General features: G+C 39.6%; 1 protein-coding gene across 55 annotated transcripts in view; it reads right to left on the bottom strand.

The window, feature by feature from the left end:
• The window catches only part of MAP4K4 (mitogen-activated protein kinase kinase kinase kinase 4), a 196984-nt gene that overhangs the window by 44336 nt on the left and 134271 nt on the right, over positions 1 to 18377 (bottom strand). For 51 of the 55 annotated variants that reach the window (NM_001395002.1, NM_001384506.1, NM_001384497.1 and 48 more), the window contains 5 exons: positions 15892 to 15946; positions 14377 to 14455; positions 10361 to 10536; positions 7674 to 7746; positions 6044 to 6254 (listed from right to left, as the gene is read on the bottom strand). In NM_001395002.1, the coding sequence (NP_001381931.1) occupies positions 6044 to 6254; positions 7674 to 7746; positions 10361 to 10536; positions 14377 to 14455; positions 15892 to 15946 (594 nt within the window). The remainder of the gene's footprint in view (positions 1 to 6043; positions 6255 to 7673; positions 7747 to 10360; positions 10537 to 14376; positions 14456 to 15891; positions 15947 to 18377) is intronic. The other 4 variants (NR_169279.1, NR_169280.1, NR_169281.1 and 1 more) reach the window with 1 other exon arrangement.

Here is an 18377-nt window from a genome sequence, read left to right as displayed (position 1 = left end):
ATGTTTTCCTAGTGTTACAATTTAATATCAATACTAATCCCATTTCACACAGAGTTTTTTTTCCTCTTGCTTCCCTTTGTTTTCAATGTCTTCTACTTCCACCGCCCCTCTAAAATTTAACTTTGAGATTTGTAGAAATCCCTTTGGGATTTTGTAGGAATGACAGAAATAAATGTTACTCTGTGTCCTCTTGGTGGAAGAAAGGCAAAAAGAAACTGCTGATGCTCACACTAACATTTACCCTTAGTTGAGGAAGCAGACTTTCCAAAATCACAAAGTGACAACTGAGAGTCCAGGGGTAAAGGCTTTGAAAGGAAAGATGTAAGAAATTTTTTTAAATACCAGCTAAAAGACTCTGAGACAGGAAAGACCTGAATATCCTATCAGTACTGTTCAAATTACAAGTAGCAGAAAACTAATCAGGTTTTCTCCAGGACACCATCTTGTTTAATATTTTTATTTTCTTTTACTCTTTATTTTTTTATTAAATAGAGATGGGGTATTGCTATATTCCCAAGCTGATCTCAAACTCCTGGGCTTAAGTGAGCATCCCATCTCGACCTCCCAAAGTGGCTGGGATTACAGATGTAAGCCATCATGCCCAGACTATTTTTATTAAACTTAGACAAAGAACAAAGAAAACATGCTAACCAAATGTGTGAGTGTCATGAAAGTACAGAGGAACAGATAAACGATGCCAAACCATGATTCAATTTAAAAAAAAAAAAAGAGCACAAAACTATTGAGATAAAATGACACCACAATTAAGTAAGCTTCATTTTTCCTAAAAAGCAAATAAATACTAGATGGAAGAAAAGGTTGGCTTGTGAACAAAATGCAAAAAAAAATTTAACTAGACCCAAAGTCTTGTATGAGCCAAAGATGTGATGATGCTCTAAATAGGAAAAGTAGTATTAAAACTTTTTGGCTGGGCACAGTGGCTCATGCCTGTAATTCCAGCACTTTGGGAGGCTGAGGCGGGTGGATTGCTTGAGCCCAGGAGTTAGAAACAAGCCTGGCCAACAATGGTGAAACCCCATCTCTACAAAACAAAAAATACAAAAATTAGCCTAGTATGCTGGTGCATGCCTGTAGACCCAGCTACTAGAGAGGTAGAGCCAGGAGGATCACTTGAGCCCAGGTGGCAGAGGGTGCAGTGAGCTGAGATTGCACCACTGCACTCCAGCCTGGGTGACACAGCAAAACCCTGTCTCCAAAACAAAACACCTTTTTGAGGGAGGAAGAAAATTATCCTTTTCTGAATCTGGGTAATTCACTTAGAGTAAACTGACAAAATATGAGTGTACCCAGAAGAGAAGGACCCAGGGAGCACAGTCACACACATGAAGAGCAGCGGGGAGGGGCAGGGAAGAAATGCTGAGACTCTCAGTACGAACTCGGCTGCATGAGCTCAGCATTCTCCCCTTTTCCTCCTGGAACCATCCAAACAAAACAAGAAGAGAAAACAAAAACCTCATTTTCAGCAAAACCGGGAGACAAACTCCAAAAGAGTTGCAAGGACTTCCAAAGAAGATCCAGTTCACACAAGAGACAAGGAGGAGGCAGAGAAGCAAAGGAGGGCGATACCAGCAGCAGCAGTTATCAGAGAGCACCAAGGGAGATGGAGGGTGGGAGTGTACATATTTCTTAAAGATGAAGGACCTATGAAGGGCAAAAGCACCCTCCCTCACCTGCAAAAAGGGTGCAGAGACAGGAGTGTGTGGATGGCAGGAGAAATCCCCAACCCCAGTGGGCCTGGTTTTGTGGCATCTGCACTGTGTTTGCCCACAGCCTTTACTTTCTGGATCATGTTTTGCCAGTCTGCTGATAGATAACAGTTATCTCCTTTCAGTTTTAATATCTTATGAGTGAGGCTGACCATCTTTACTTACTTTATTCATAAAATAATCTCTGTTCCTCAAACAGTTCTGACTAAATCCTTAATGCCAATAAAGGGCTACGAACCAATTATGGCTCAAATAGTCAGCCTCTGTACCCACAGGTTCCACATCCACATGGATTCGACCAACCTTGGGTCAAAAAATATTTGAAAGCACTGCATCTGTACAGACTTTTTTGGTCATTATTCCCTAAATAATATAGTGTAACAGGTATTTGCATGGCATTTACACTGTACTTGGTATTAAGTAATCCAGAGATGATATAAAGTACAGTCATGTGTTGCTTAACAACAGGGATATGTTCCTAGAAATGCGTCGTTAGGTGATTTCTTCATTGTATGAACATCATATAGTGTGCACACACAAACCTAGATGGTACAGCCTATTACACACCTAGGCCATATGGTGTAGCCTATTGCTCCTAGGCTACAAACCTGCACAGGATGGTACTATACTGAATATGCTAAGTAACTGCAATACAATGGTAAGTAGTTGTGAATCTAAACACAAAAAAAGTACAGTAAAAACATGCTATAAAAGATTACAAATGCTATCTCACCATGAATAGAGCTTGAGGGGCTGGAGGTTGCTCTGGGTGAGTCAGTGAGTGAGTGGTGAGTGAATATGAAGACCTTGAACATTAGCGTACACTACTGTAGACTTCATAAACACTGTGCATTCAGGCCATACTAAATTTATTTTAAAATGTTTTTCTTTCTTCAATATTAAATTAATCTTAATGTAATTTTTTCTTACTTTAACTTTTAAATTTTATTCTTTTGTGTTTAATACACAAACACTTCATATAAATCTGTAGAAAATATTTTCTTTCTTTAAATTTCTGTCCTATAAACTTTTTCCTAATTAAAATGTTTTAGCTTTAAAAATGTTTTTGTTAAAAAGTGACACACAAACATACACATTAGCCTAGGCCTACACAAGGTCAGGTTCCTCAATATCACTATCTTCTCCCTCTACATCTTGTCCCATTGGAGAGTCTTCAAGGGCAAATAACACACATGGAGCTGTCAGCTGTCATCTCCTATGATCACAATGCCTTCTTCTGGAATCCTCCTGAAGGACCTGCCTAAGGCTCTTTTGCAGTTAACTTGGTTTTTAATATGTAGAAGGAGTACACTCTAAAATAATGATTAAAAAGTATAATATAGTAAATACATAAACCCAGTAACATATACTGTATATAATTGTATGTGCTATACTTTTATACAACCAGCAGGGCAATACATGAGTTTACACCAGCATCACCACAATCATGAGTAACAGGTTGCGCTACAACCCATTACACGTTACAATGGCTATGATGTCACTAGGCAACAGGAATTTTTCAGCTCCATGATAATCTTATGGGACCACCATCATACATGTACTCAGTTGTTGACCAAAACGTTGTTATGCAACATATGACTATATATGGAAGGGAGTGCACAGGTTATATGCAAATAGTAGGCCACTTTATATCAGGGGCTTGGGCATCTGCAGTTCTGGTATCCATGGGAAGTCCTAGAACCAAACCCCCAAATACGGGATCACTCTATTCCCAAATTATCTTCCTCAGACCTGGAGTGTAAATAAAGCTTAATTACCCAGGCTAGTAACAAGCAGCTAGCTGACCAAAAATCCAAACCAGTGGAATTCTACTCATGTGACTTTTCCCATTCCAATATTTTCTTAATCTTTCCTAATTAAGAAGCTCAAAGAGATGACCCTGAGTTTGAACTTACACTGAAAATCCATAATGGGCTAATTAAAACATGACAAGCACAAAATTGTTGTTTTCACAGACATTCACCAGCATCTACTTAGCTTATAAAACAAAATGACTTTAAAATTTCAGCTCTTCCCTGTGAGCCATCGCTCACCTTCACCTTCTACCATCGCTCACCTTCACCACCTACCACATGCAGAGGCTGGATAATGGATACTCGTCTCACTAGTGACAGCCTGAAAGACATTTCCAGTGCCTGTGTTACAAATGAGTGCTAACTTGATCTGGTCCTTGGCACTTCAAGTTATAAACCACCAAAGTAGTCTATGCCACCTGCTTAAGGAAAGTACAGGCCGGGATCAAAAAAAGATAGTGGAAAACACCACTTCAAGAAACAACTAGAAACAGCCAGAGTCTCAAAACTCAAGCATTCTAATATAGTAAGTACAGTCAATATGCAACTTGAACAGATCTCTGAACTCATTCAAGATTTATTACGTTCAAAGAACACTGAAAAGAGTCTTAACAAAAATACCACAAGGAATTTGCAAATTAGCTACAAAAAGCATTATAAAAGCAGCGAAGTTGTCCCTACTACAGGGGAACGTACGTCCTGTTTTCTTCTAAAAGTCCTAGCTGAATATTTGCAGGCTCCTTAGTTCAGCAGGCACTGATTTTTCTAAACAAGCGGCAAATTATAAAGAGTTTTCAGAATCCAGACTACAAATACACAAAGTGAATGAAAGATTCCATGCCAAAGTGTGCTGTTAAATTAGTAGGATAATATTTAATAGCATGTGTTGCTACTTAATAGGTTAAATTCCACTGGATAATATCAATACAGGGCTTTACTGTTGTTGGCCCATTTTTCTGGGGGAAAAAAGGTAAAACAATAATGTCTGTGAATTAAATAAAAACAGAAATGATAATGAATGAGAAATTTGGACCTGTGAGGTATGCAGCAGAAGCCAGTCAAAAAAAGAAAATCAAAAGACTCTTCTGATCCCCAAGTGAAATAGCCATGTTTTGGTCAATGATGAACTGCATATACAATGGTGGTCCCATAAAATTATAATATCATATTTTTACCATACTTTTTCTATGTTTACATATACAAATACTTACCATTGTGTTACAACTGCCTACAGTATAAGGCACAGTAACATGCTGTACAGGTTTGTAGCCTAGAAGCAAGAGGCCACACCACATAGTCTAGGTGCGCAGTAGGCTGTACCATCTAGGTCTGTGTAGGTACACTCTATGATGTTCCCACAATGACGGATCACCTAATGATGCATTTCTCAGAATGTATCCCCGTCATTAAGCGACCCATGACTGTATAGGGAAATAATATATTTCTGTGCATTAAAAACGTGAAAGCTGTAAGGTAACCACATTACCAATGTTAGCAATATTAATGAGTTAAATGAGCAGGTGGTGTAAAATGTACTTCTCCACCAGAGGACACTACAACTTCCAGGTTCAAATTGTTTTCTGCATCCCTTACCGTGTGTGCGTGTGTGTTCGGTTTTTTTTTTTATTTTTATTTTTTTTTTGGCTTAAACCAGTAAAAATTTATTTTCTGACAGTTCTGGATGCTGGAACTCTGATATCAAGGTGTGAAGGCTCTAGGGAAGGGTCCTTCTTTGCCTCTTCCTAGCTTAGGTGGTTGCAGGCAATATTGGTCCTTCCTTGACTTGTAGACCATCATTCCCATCTTGCCTCCCTTGCCACGCGGCACTCTTCCCGTGTTTCCGCCTCTATGTCCAAATCTTATCTTTTTTATTTTATTTTATTTTACTTTAAGTTCTGGGATACACTGCAGAACGTGGTTTGTTACATAGGTAAACGTGTGCCATGGTGGTTTGCTGCACCTGTCAACCCGTCACCTAGGTATTAAGCCCTGCATTAGCCATTTGTCCTCATCTGCATCCCCTACTCTTGAGTATACCCAAGGTTAAGGCATTTAGAAAAAAAAAAACTTTCATGTGAAAAAGTCTGAAGTTTCAGAAAAATATGCACATACAAACTGGGACCCAGAGGCTGAGAGTAGAAAAGCAATCAGGTCAATCCTGAGCAAGCCAACTTAAACCATAATGCAAAAAGACTTCACAAAACTGGTCTGATGCCATCTTTGGGACACTTGCTCTGCATCTAACACAGTATGTTGATGAGTAACTGTGGGGCAGATCCTTAAAGTTTTCACAAGGAAGGAAAACATTTCTAAGGCCTCAAGGAATGTGAAGGCCTGCCAGTCCAAAGCGTAAGCTTTCTTTCACAAGTTATGTAAACAGCTGTGCCAGGGGATAAGTATTACCCCAGGAAGCTACAGAGGATATTCCTCTGAGTGGCTAACTACCAGTGTAAATGCAGAAAGAGAAAAGACCAACCAACTTGGACATTTTCCTTTTGCTACCTCTTCTAGCCGTCGCCTCTGTTCTTTCTGCTGCTCAATCCGCTTCTGTCTCTCTGCCAGCAGTTGCCTTTTATATTCTTCCTGCTCCCGGAGCTGTTGCTCCTGTAGTAACTGTTGTCTCCGAAGAGCCTCGGAACGTTCCTTGTTCTCCTGCTGCAGTCTCAGGAAATCTCGGCGAAGAGTAGACTCACCAGGCACGTTCACAATGGAACTGTTGGAAAAAGCAGGGCTTTCAGGGGTGTGCACCGATCACACTGTCCTATAAGTGAGTCAATAGCACCAGCATATTATCCCATTTCTACATTCATTCTCTGAGTTCCTCTGACTCCAGGGAGACAACTAATACATCCACAGAAATGACTATATCTACAATTCAATAGTCCCATATCTTCTTTTACTTATTTAGTAAATATCTTAAAATGCTGTCCTAGATGTTTGCTTGACAAGACATTTCTATTTAGGATTCGCGTAACAATTCAAACTCAGTAAAAGGAAAGGTTGAAATCACCTTCTTTGATTTCACTAGTCCTTTAACCACTTTTTTTTTCTTCAGCAAACAGAACCATCAGACCACTCTTCAGTGTTTACACCATTCCTTTGTCTTTGTCTGGTCAACCACCAAGCCCTGTCATAATTCCCTCCCACTTTCTTATTTCCAGGTCAGCAGCTGAGCCCAAGCGGGTCCTACGAATTAGCCACTACACAGATCAATTAAACACACCCTTCCTAGCTGACCTCCCCACCGAGTTACTTCTCCACTGCCACAGCATCCAGAGCAGCATGGCAAACATATCTCCTTAAATTGCCTTTTTCGTCATACAGTGCTCCTCCTATTCAAAAACAATTACATTGCTTATGAAATCAGTTCAAATTCCTCTGAAATTCTTAGTCTAAAATGGATTAAAATCTCTCCTACATAAGAAGAAAGAGAGATTATGCAGTAGCTTCAATAAATTCTCTTCTCTCTGTTCCAAGTCCCATTCTCTGGCACACGGCTCCCCACAGGTCACTTGAGATGCCCTTCCACCCTCCCTTTGTTCACTTCATCAGCCACATACTGCAGCATGGACAACTGCCAGGCACACCCAACATCACAATCCAAAAATCCTCTATTCTCTGATTCATCAGTTATTATGAGGTTCATGTAACCCATCTGACTCCTTAACCTTCTGCTTTACTGAACTTTGGGGAGCCAGAGATAAACTAAAACACAGACTGTAAAATAAATCAGGACACAACACAGTCCTGCTGGTCCATGGGCGGGACAATTCTTTTTGTGTAGCCATGTTCTATATACCACAAGAAATGGTGTTCAATGGCACCTTCACCATCCGTGGCTTCTGGAACAATAAATGCTGGGGCACTCTCCCCTGCCCAGGCCCACACATTTTTCAGTGACTGGAGAAGGGGACACAATACAACCCTTGGTAAAGAATCACTGGGTAAGAGGATCCAGGGAAGAAAAATGTTTACAGGAATCTGTCAAGAATAGAGAAGAATGGAGATAGTAAGATGCTGTCTAAGTAATTTAAGATTCTTTGTACCACACAGGAGTCTTCTGCAGTCCTGGCACAACATAAAACTTAATCCCTTCATAAAGCAGGATACTGAACAGTGGCTTTGTGGTTACCTTGGCTCTCCTTCCTGTTCAGGCACTTCCTCCTCTTCTTCCTCACTCCCACTGTACTCATACTCAGTTTCATCTATGAAGAAAAGGACAAGATAAATGGGACAGTTCACAAGTCCTGACACACGCCTGTTCAGACAAGCATCTGCAGGAGCACCTTGGCAGAAAATAAACAAGTTCCCTGTGAAAACAGCAACTTGTATAGAGGATTTGGGGAGGAGGGGCAAGACACCACATTCTCATAGTGACAGCATCTATTCCCTGGTCAGCCTTACTCCCCACAGAAAAGCTGATTCCACGGCATTCGAGCCAACCTTGTATGGGGATGTACTGCTGAGGACGTGCAGGACCACGAGAGGGGATCCAGAGCCCCTGATACATGAGAAAAGAACCCGAGGGCACTAGCAAATTCACCAAAATCCACTTTGATGGCAAAATTCAAAAAGATATGTAACTGCTGAAACTAAGGCAACCAAGAGAATTTACTTGGTGATTTTTTGCAATTAGGGATCCACGGAGAGTGCAGCAGAGAGAAAAGCCTGGGAGATGGACACAAAGTGAAACATTAACTAGGTACAGGAAAAATAAGCCAAATGTACCCACAAACAAACCTGGCAAAACCAGGGAAAACTAATTAAACCATATAGCAAAAGAATGAGACTAAAATTTGCTCTACTTAGGCCAGACTTCAAACAAACAAAAGTTTCAACATCAATAACTCATTTTCAGTTCTACAGGTTTTAGACAGTTTTCCCAAAAGGCCATTTATTGGTCCCTTCACTTAATGTCAATATCCAACTTTCAGTGAGCAGTTTCACTCCAGAAATCAATCAAAAAACCAGACAGGTTGAAGAGATTTAAAAGCAGTCTAGACACACACACCTCTATTTTTTTCAAAGATATACAAGATGAAAATCAGGCTGGGTGTGGTGGCTCCCGCCTGTAATCCCAGCACTTTGGGAGACTGAGGCGGGCAGATCACGAGATCAGGGGTTCAAGACCAGCCTGACCAACATGGTGAAAGCCTGTCTCTATTAAAAATACAAAAACCAGCCGGGTGTGGTGGTACATGCCTATAATCCCAGCTACTCAACAGGCTGAGGCAGGACAATCACTTGAACCTGGGAGGCGGAGGCTGCAGTGAGCCAAGAACGCACCACTGTACTCCAGCCTGGGTGACAGAGCAGCAAGACTCTGTCTCCAAAAAAAAAAAAAGATGAAAATCAGTTTCCTGGTTTTTAAGTGCCTGGGCAATTAAAATATGGTTCCGTACAAATTTGTCAGTCTACACATATAAGCTCTTCTGTATGCTAGACCATCAAAGCTATTTTAATAGATTATGCTAGCTTCAAAGGGAAATTCCAGCTTAAATAATCTTCAGAATCCTTAAAATAGGTACTCTGCTATGTTTGTAATTTTACACTACAAATTACTAATTATTGACAAGAGGCTAATGGTATCTGGAAGGTAAACCCAAAAAGAAAATGAAGAGGTCACTGTGACTTGAAGAGAAAGGAAGGGAAGGTGCTCTGCTGTTTCCATCTGCAAAATGTGGGTGATGAGGAAAACATGAGATGATCCAAGGTATCTGGCAAATGTTCCATGAACATTAGCTATTATTACTAAGTCAAGTCATGGGAAAATGATCCAATATGCAAATAATTTTTTTCCTGAACAGCGCTTCCATGTCAATTGAGTTAAGGAAAAAAAGTCTTGTTTTCAAACTTTAATTAACTGTGTTACAAGTGCATAGCTTAATGTACAAAGCCTAATTACTTTTATAACTAAGTATATCAGAAGGAAAAAGGTTATTCTGAACATCAATGATGACTTAACTATGAATACCAGTACAGGCAGAAAGGCCTCCAGACTTTGACCAATTCTTTTACTGCCTTGAACCTGCTCTTCTTGGTTTCTTCTCTGACCTTGAAATTTGAACCAAAAAGTAATAGGATGCCACTTAACCAAGTGTTGTTCTATAAAGTTATTATAAGGACCCACAAAAGAGAAGGATCAATGTGAGCTAGCAGCCTCAGAGAAGATGGTTTAGTAAAGACGGTGACGATGTTTGAACTGCACCTCGCTGGACAGAAGGAAAACGGAGAACATTCCAGGAAGGTGGGCAAAGTATGTGCAAAGACATAAAACAAAGTTACTGGGAACAGAAAAGAACCTTCATTATTTAGCACAACAGCATGCTTGTGTTATGCATGCTACTTAAAGCAAAGTCATCTGACTATGCATGTGGCCCATGCTACCACACCGCTTGTAATAGAGTAGAGCAGTAAAAATCCCCTGAGCGGGGGTTCTTGGGCAGGAGAATTATACAGAAACACACTGATGGTGATGCTCACAGCAGATGCTCAATACACCCCAGTGAAATATACCATGAACACATCCGTAAGGAAGTAAAATGGGCAGCAACAACGTGACCCTCGGGAACAAGAAAAGCATCCCATCGCAATGCCGATCTATTTGCTGTAAGCTTGGTGACACAACACAAAGCTCCAGCCAACTCCACCTGGAGCCAGACTGGACCCCAGGCCTAAGCACTGAACCGCAAGCAGAGAAACCATGCAAGCACTGGCCAAGTGAGCACTCTCACAGCTGGGAAGGGAGGGACCTACTCTAGTTGGCAAGAAACTAAACATAAAAATTTTAAAGGATGAAAACAAAAACAGGCTTAGTACCTTTCTCGCCTCTCTTCTTCCTGGTACGATCTATATGATCCTTAAGCTGGATTCTAACTTGCCTTTCATTTGGCTGATCCCTTATAAAAGGATGTTTCAAAAGCTGCTCTGTAGAGGGCCGCTGCATGTAATTCTTCACCAGGCACCCTTCTATAAAACTAAAAAACTTCTTCGACCTGTAAGAAGTGAAAAAGATCATCAAATTTCCACCACAAAGAGTAAAGATCGAAAATATCAGTAACTTACAAGCCTCAACATAAAGAAGAGCTTCAGAATTCACTGTGAACATTCTGCAAATGCATAGGAATAATGTATGAAACATAAATAGGAACTCAGGACTGTTGAGGATCAGGAGCATTAATTTAGCACAGTTTAAGTGGTGCATCCTATCACTAACAACACACCACAAACAGGGAGCTAACAAGGAGGTCAGATTTAAATGAACTGGGTTTAAATCTAATATTGCACATTAATCACTTAATTAACAGGAGTGGTGGCAGCAAGGGGGTAAAGGGAGGTCTTTGATAAAATGAAGGCAGACAGGACAGATGTCTGGTACCTAGAAGACAAGGACAGACAATGAGATAAGAAAAGGAGCAGAATCCATGACGAAATGCTGGGTCTCTTGAACCTGTTAATTTGACATTTCAACCGGAGTTCCAAACTGGTTGATTTGTCAGTTCCCTCTGTTTAACCTACAAAGGTGGAAATTACAGTTGTTGGTTCTTTTGGAGGGATGGAGGGAAGAGATTAATCTGTCACCTACATTTGCCATACTAGCCACTTTTACTTCTTCCTGTTTCTCCATGCCCAGCTCATGAGGACCATGGCCCTAGCCTTGGTCAAGACACTCTTACCTATCACCTATCCTATTTTTTGAGACTCATCTCAAGAATCACCACTTCTGGTAAATCTTCCTGGCAACACTCTGTCCTATGTGTCCCCAATTTAGGAGCCTTTCTTCTGGGGTTATCTGCTTTTAACAGACTGCATGCTTTTTGTTTCTGTCCCACTGAAAGGTTGAAATGGTACACGTCAAAAACTGGTTCCTACATCTCAACCTGCAGGCAATGCTCAACACTAGGCATGCATGCCACAATAGGTATGGAATAAATTTTTGTTGAATGAATGAGGTATTCTTCGGTCTTTAAAAATGTGAGTTAGAAAATTAGTTCACTCTTTCCACTTCACTGCTTTTAAGAATCACTTCTATTGTCTGGTATTTCCATTAAAACTTACTTTTTTTCAATTCAACAAATATTTACGTATCAACTATTTGCATTTGTTTATGTCAGGTTCTATAACACATACACATGGGAAATAAAGTGGAGAAATTTAGGTATACACAACAGCGGACATATATCAAACTTACAGAGGAAGAAAAAACCTGTTACAGTAGACTGGACAAGAAGAAAAAGTGGGATACTTGATATTCATAAGGTAGGACAGAGAAGACAACATTCCAGAGTGAAGGAATGATATGAACAAAAGTAGGGAAGTGTTAGAGAATAATGAGTTATTTTCTGAGGCTAGTATTAAAAGTGAAAAAGAATGGAAAAATAGGTTAGGGTCAGCTCAGAGAAAAGTCCTTGAAGTCATTCAAAGTAGCTGTTACTTTATTCTACGTTTAATGAGGAACATGGAAGATTCTACACAGTACAGTGAAATGCTTTAACACAGAGATAGTTCTAAGACCCAATGTCCACAAAGATCATTTTGGGGAGTTTATTGAAGATACAAATACCTGAGTCACTCCCCAGACCAGAAACTTTGAGGTTGGAGCCATCAGTTAAAAGATTCCAAAAGGATTCCTAAGCATTGTGTCCACAGACTAACATCTCGGAATCAATGATCTACAACGTATTTCCTAAAGTCAAGAATCAAGTTCTGCTGGCAGAAGGACACTGATCATCTTTTGAAAGCTATTTCTCAAAAAAACAGTAGAATTTACATCGGGTAGACGGTGGACAGCAATCACAAAGGAAGAAGGACTTTACGTCCATAATTTTCTCATCCTTTTAGAACACTTGGGTAACATTAGAACAGGGATATAAAATGGATGAAATATGCCGTCTAACCCAGTTTAAAGAAAGTTTGGTGTAAGAAAAGAATACAGGAAGCATTCATTGCTGTCTACCACTGTATCTTTGTATCACTATATGTTGGACACAGTGGTTAATACAGAACTGTAGCTAATGGGCAGAAAAATCAGAGTATGAGGTACCCTGAAGACAGCATTAACTTAGCAATCCTTCCAGTATAGACTTCTGTCAACAAAATCTGAGAGAGATAAAGAAAAGGGGAAAATGAGTACTACTTAATTAAAGCATGAACTGGGTAGAGTTACTCCAGCTCCACAGCTGATTCCTTGGTGACATCAGCTATATACACTGATGGTTTCCCTAGGCGTGGCCACCCGTGGATGTCCAGAGTTATTATGTCTTAATACAGAAGACTGACTGGGGTTAAAATCCTTACAACTCTGTGGCAATAAAAACCATTCTAAACACGGGGTAAATGGAATTAGCCACATGGAGACAAATGTGGTTAAAGACTGTATAAAAAATGAGAAAAATCCTGCCAGCAGAAGACAGAGGGCAAAGAACAGTGAAATGTGTTGGGGGCAAGGACAGTGAGCTACAGGGAGAAGCATGAAGAAAACTGGTATGAAGATGGGTGTCAGCGTGCAACAATATAGGGGAAAGAGAACTGCAAATCACCAGAAGGTGAGTAAACAAGAAAAAAAAGCATAAACAGGAACAGCTGAAGGCCAAACTCAGAATGGAAGCTTAACTCTGAGATGTCCTGCATATTTCAGAAGGAGAGTCAAGAACCTAAGAGGAGGCAGCATCAATTGGAAAACTAGTAAGAACTGTTTCAAAAAAAAAAAAAAAAGCCATATAGTAGGTGGGAATCAATGAGCCCAGAAAAACAGAAAGAAGAACACAAAAAGGAGGGGAGACCATGCATGAAGAGCCAGAGTACAGACCAGAACAAACAAGAAAGGACCCAGAAAGAAATTCAGGAGGGAAAGAGGGGGCAAAATTCTCAGGAGAACCAGAAACACTGCTCTCTTTCTTCAAGATTTTACAACTAACCCAACACCATGTTCCCACAATGCTGCAATCCTAACAGCTTTTCTCAGGGAAAGTCATCCTCCTCTCTCTCTGCGGGTATCAGTACTCTGTTTGACAAATGTATGAGAGTTACAAGGAGAAGGAAAAGTGACAGCCTAAGAATATAAAACCATTCTGTTTAATATGCTATTCTGCGATTAAAGCTGGTATGTCTAACTTCAATTTTTAAAATAATAATAATTACAGTAAAAGCCTCCATTAATTTTAAAATCCTACTACATGTGAGGAAATGCAAGTCAACACAGCTTTCTTTCGTTCTTTTTTTTTTTGAGACAGAGTTTCGCTCTTGTTACCCAGGCTGGAGTGCAATGGCGTGATCTCGGCTCACCACAACCTCTGCCTTCTGGGTTCCAGCGATTCTCCTGCCTCAGCCTCCCGAGTAGCTGGGATTAGAGGCATGTGCCACCACGCCCGGCTAATTTTGTGTTGTTTTATAGTAGAGACGGGGTTTCTCCATGTTGGTCAGGCTGGTCTTGAACTCCTGACCTCAGGTGATCCTCCCCGCCTTGGCCTCCCAAAACGCTGGGATTACAGGTGCGAGCCACCGCGCCCGGTCGCTTTCTTTCTTTAATGGGAAGATGTTTAGAAGTATATTACACTTAAAAGAATGCCTAAATACTAAAATGGAACATTTGTCTTTAGACATGTTATAGTGTTTCATGTGGTCATTTGTCACCGTTTTGTAATTCAGAGAGAATTTAACAAGAAAAATCTCATTTAAAAAAAATCAACGCATCTTTTAATTGGTGTTTTGGAGAACTGGCTCTTGGGTTCCCCAGAATTAGAAGGGCCAGAATTTTATCTCAGAGGAAAGTATAACTAAAAAGAAGCAATTTAAAAAAAAGGGAAAAGAACAACAAAAAACCATATATAGCTTACCATTTTTTTGACTTCAGCCGGGGAGGAGGGTTTCTGGGAATGAGAAACAGTGCTCTCATTGGATGCATGTCACAGAGAGCTGGGGAGAGGAGACGGTCGTGTCAGTATGGCACTTATTTCACTCATTCTTGATTTCTAGGGTTCAGTCATAAATAACATGAAATGCTCTGGCCCATCGTCTGACTGACAGGCTTCATACCAAGCAGTCTAGACATCTAGTTATGAACTCCAGGGCATATCTTGAATTTCCCATTTAAAAATAGCAAAGTGGGAGGACAAGAGCAACAAGAAGAATATACATTTTCAAAAAGACATTGGAAAGTTTTCATAAATCTAAGTCTTATAGGAACTAACACCTAAGTTGTTAAACTATCTGTTAGATTACAATGAAAATGATTGTATTTTCATAGGGTTGTTGTCAAGATTAAATAAGATATGGCTTGCAAAGGCCTTCATACAATGCCTGGAACAGAATGAGCACAGTTAGGCCCTCCAGAAATGCTGTTTGTTGTTATAGCTAAAAATACTAGAAAGAGCAAAAATTGAGCATGAAATGGATTTAATTCTGTGCAATTACTCTTTGTACTCCTATGACTCACCCAATAAAGGTGTGTTAGGCACACATGTAGGCATTACTACATCACCATATGCAATGTGCATTTTCATGTGTTTCTTTACCTTCAGAAGACCCTTACAAGGCATCTGGGCAATGAGGAGAGGCAGACAATACTATTCCCCTTGTGAACAAAAACTGAGAGAAAGGATGAGGTGGTACTTCCCTGCCTTACTTTCTTAGAGGGAAGCACAGGGGAATGTATGGTGTTTGAGGCAGATCTCTATTTCTATACTGAAAACTAATTTTTAGCTGTCGATAATTATTTTCATTCATTCAACAAATATTTATTCAGCAGCAACTATGTGCCGTGCCAGACAGTTATACATTCTTTGTGTATACCTTTTTTAATGGGGACCAGCAGAAAATGCAGTGTTTTTTTTCCTTTGTTCTCTGCAATTCTACCTCATCCGTGATCAACAATGAATTATATGAAGTTCTCATTAATCCAATGGAGAAGCAAACACTCACAAAATTTCAGTTAACACGCACAAAAAATTATTCTATCAATAAAGTTTTGCCTCCATTTGTAAAGTCAAAACTTAATACTAAAATTTCATGTGTTAGGACTAGTTTCACTGAATTACTCAATTTAAAATGTAAAAAGAAAACTTACTACTTATTATCTGATCTCAGCACTACTTCAGGTCACACATGTGAGTACAACTTAAATAAAAGAAAATGTAGCCTATAGGCCTCCTAGAGATATTCAAAAGGAATAGTAATAGTGGTTGCCAAGAATTCCTTCTACATCTAAAACTTGACTATATTTATGTTGCCTTCATCTAAACAGTCCACCAGAAATGCCTTTATCCATGGAGCTGAGCTGTTCTTTTTGAAGTCTTGGGAGGGGTTTAAGTCACATGTAACAAGTGAGCTAAAAAGAAAAGAAAGTTACTTACGGGGAGCACCTTCTGCCATCTCAATGGCTGTAATGCCACAAGACCAAAGATCACTCTGCAAAAATAAAACAGTACGTTACAGATACTGGAGTAGATACAAAGCCACTAACTTACATGTCTGGGTATTCACACAACTTTGCTATATAAACCAAAAGGAAATTTGCCAGAAAATTAAAAGTACAAGCACATTTGTAGAACTTACGGAGCGGAGGGGAGGGGAGGGGAGGAAGGGAGGGATGGAGGGATGGAGGGATGGAGGGATGGAGGGAGGGGAGGGAGGGAAGGGAGGGAAGGAAAGGAAGGAAAGGAAGGAAGGAGAAAATTGATTTAATTAAAACCACTCACATCTATGAATGAACCAGAGCTGGTCCACTTAAAAGCATCTCTCTGAATTGTCTACTGTGAACTACTGTATGTTTCTTCATTTCTTCATAAGCATTTAATACTTAAGACTTCTGGCCCAGATTTATGTTTATTGTTAGTAACTCAAATTTAATTAAGATTTTAAAGTTTAAAGGCCAGAAACCATTTTTTACAAAGTGTTCACCACTGAATTCATAAAACCTAATGTGGTTCACTAATTGAAATCATGCCACTAAGCATCCCCACCCTACCTGCAAACCAAACAAGTCAGCTGGTTTTCTGTACATGGAATCTTTTTTCTGATTCCCCTGAAATACTAAATTTAAAATTTGAATTAAACTTTACTTTCTACTCAAATATAAGTTCCATGAAAGCAGTCATTTTTGCCAGTTTTATTTACTTTTGTAATGGCGGGTACTCACTAAACATTGCCTGATATACTAAAGTCTTATCAGATGATATTTCTTTTTTTTTTTTTTTTGAGATGGAGTCTCATTCTGTCACCCAGGCTGGAATGCAGTGGCGCGATCTCAGCTCACCGCAAGCTCCACCTCCCGGGTTCACGCCATTCTCCTGCCTCAGCCTCCTGAGTAGCTGGGACTACAGGCGCCCGCCACCATGCCCGGCTAATTTTTTGTATTTTTAGTAAAGATGGGGTTTCACCGGGTTAGCCAGGATGGTCTCGATCTCTTGACCTCGTGATCCACCCGCCTCGGCCTCCCAAAGTGCTGGGATTACAGGCGTGAGCCACCATGCCCGGCCATCAGATGGTATTTCTTAAAATCCAAAAAAAAGGATTTTTGAAAAGTAGATGAGGATAGTTATTATCATTACTATGTATTTGTTTATATGCTATCTTAACCAAGGAATTAAAGTTGCTCAATTTAAAGGTTTTCTAAATAATCTACACTTACATTACAAAGTTCAGACACATATATCCGAATACAACAAAAAGGAGAGACCTATCATTCCTCCCTTATTTTCATTAAGCTTTCTATACTATCAGGGTACACAAAGGGGCTCATTACCCTAACCCAGTGGCCACTCCTGGCAACATGAGTTGGGGATGAACAGTTCTGCATGTCCCCTGCTGTGAGGCAACATGAAGCACCTCTACCTCCACCTCCCCAGCAGTGATTTTGCTAAGAAGGTTTTCCTTGATACAAATTACACCTTTCCAGTTTACAGGAAACAAACTAAATGACATAAAGAAGTAATGAGACAAATCTAGAGGGTAGAACATTAGACAACAGGCCCAGGCTCTTCAGAAAGTCAGTTTTATGGAAAAACAAAAACAAAAACATCGGGTGGGGGTGGGGGGATCCAGATTAAAAGAGACTAAATAACCAAATACATTGCCTTGTTCTGCATACCAGTCAGGTCTAATTACCAACTTTGTATTAATTATTTGTATTTACTTAGGTATAATAATTATTTGGGGAATGCCGGAAAACATTTTCAAATTTTAGAGACAAGTAATGACACAGTAAAGAGTGGAAAGTCACAAAGTCGGTTATCTATTTTAAGATACTTCAGTATATAAAAAATAAAACATTCTGCACTACAGTCTTAAATTAAGTCTCATTAATTGGATATTTGTAATAAATACTAAAATACATGGGAAACTGTTAAGACATGAATTCCATTTTGCATATCATTAACGGGTATATTAACTAGTCTGGCTCATCTAATTAAGGCATGGATTTTTAAAAATAGTTTTTGTAAACATAGTAACCTGAGTTTGATATCAAATATGGGTTTACATCTAGATTTTTTTAAAGTGTGTTACTGACTCAAGTCCCTAGAGGTCACTCTAATAATTTAAATAAATTTGTGTACCAAATAAAAGCTGTAAAGTGGTTTAACAAGAATATAAAATTTCACTCAAATGAAGCTATTACTTTATATTGGCAATATTTTTAAAAGAATAAATATTTGATTCTAATATATTCTTCAAGTTAAAAAATGGATAGCAAATAGGAACAAAAAGTTCTAGGCACAACAAAGTGCTCCAGACTGCTTTGAAACCAGTGTATTCCTTAGTGAGAACACAGTCATGTGATGCAAATGGACAAAAAAGACAGCATCTGAATACTGTCCTGGAAAATTTGCACCTGCAATTT

Source organism: Homo sapiens, chromosome 2, assembly GCF_000001405.40.
Source record: "Homo sapiens chromosome 2, GRCh38.p14 Primary Assembly".
NCBI classification, from domain to species: Eukaryota; Metazoa; Chordata; class Mammalia; order Primates; family Hominidae; genus Homo; species Homo sapiens.
Note: the sequence above shows the minus strand (reverse complement) of the source record. Positions and strands in the feature narration are given on the sequence as shown.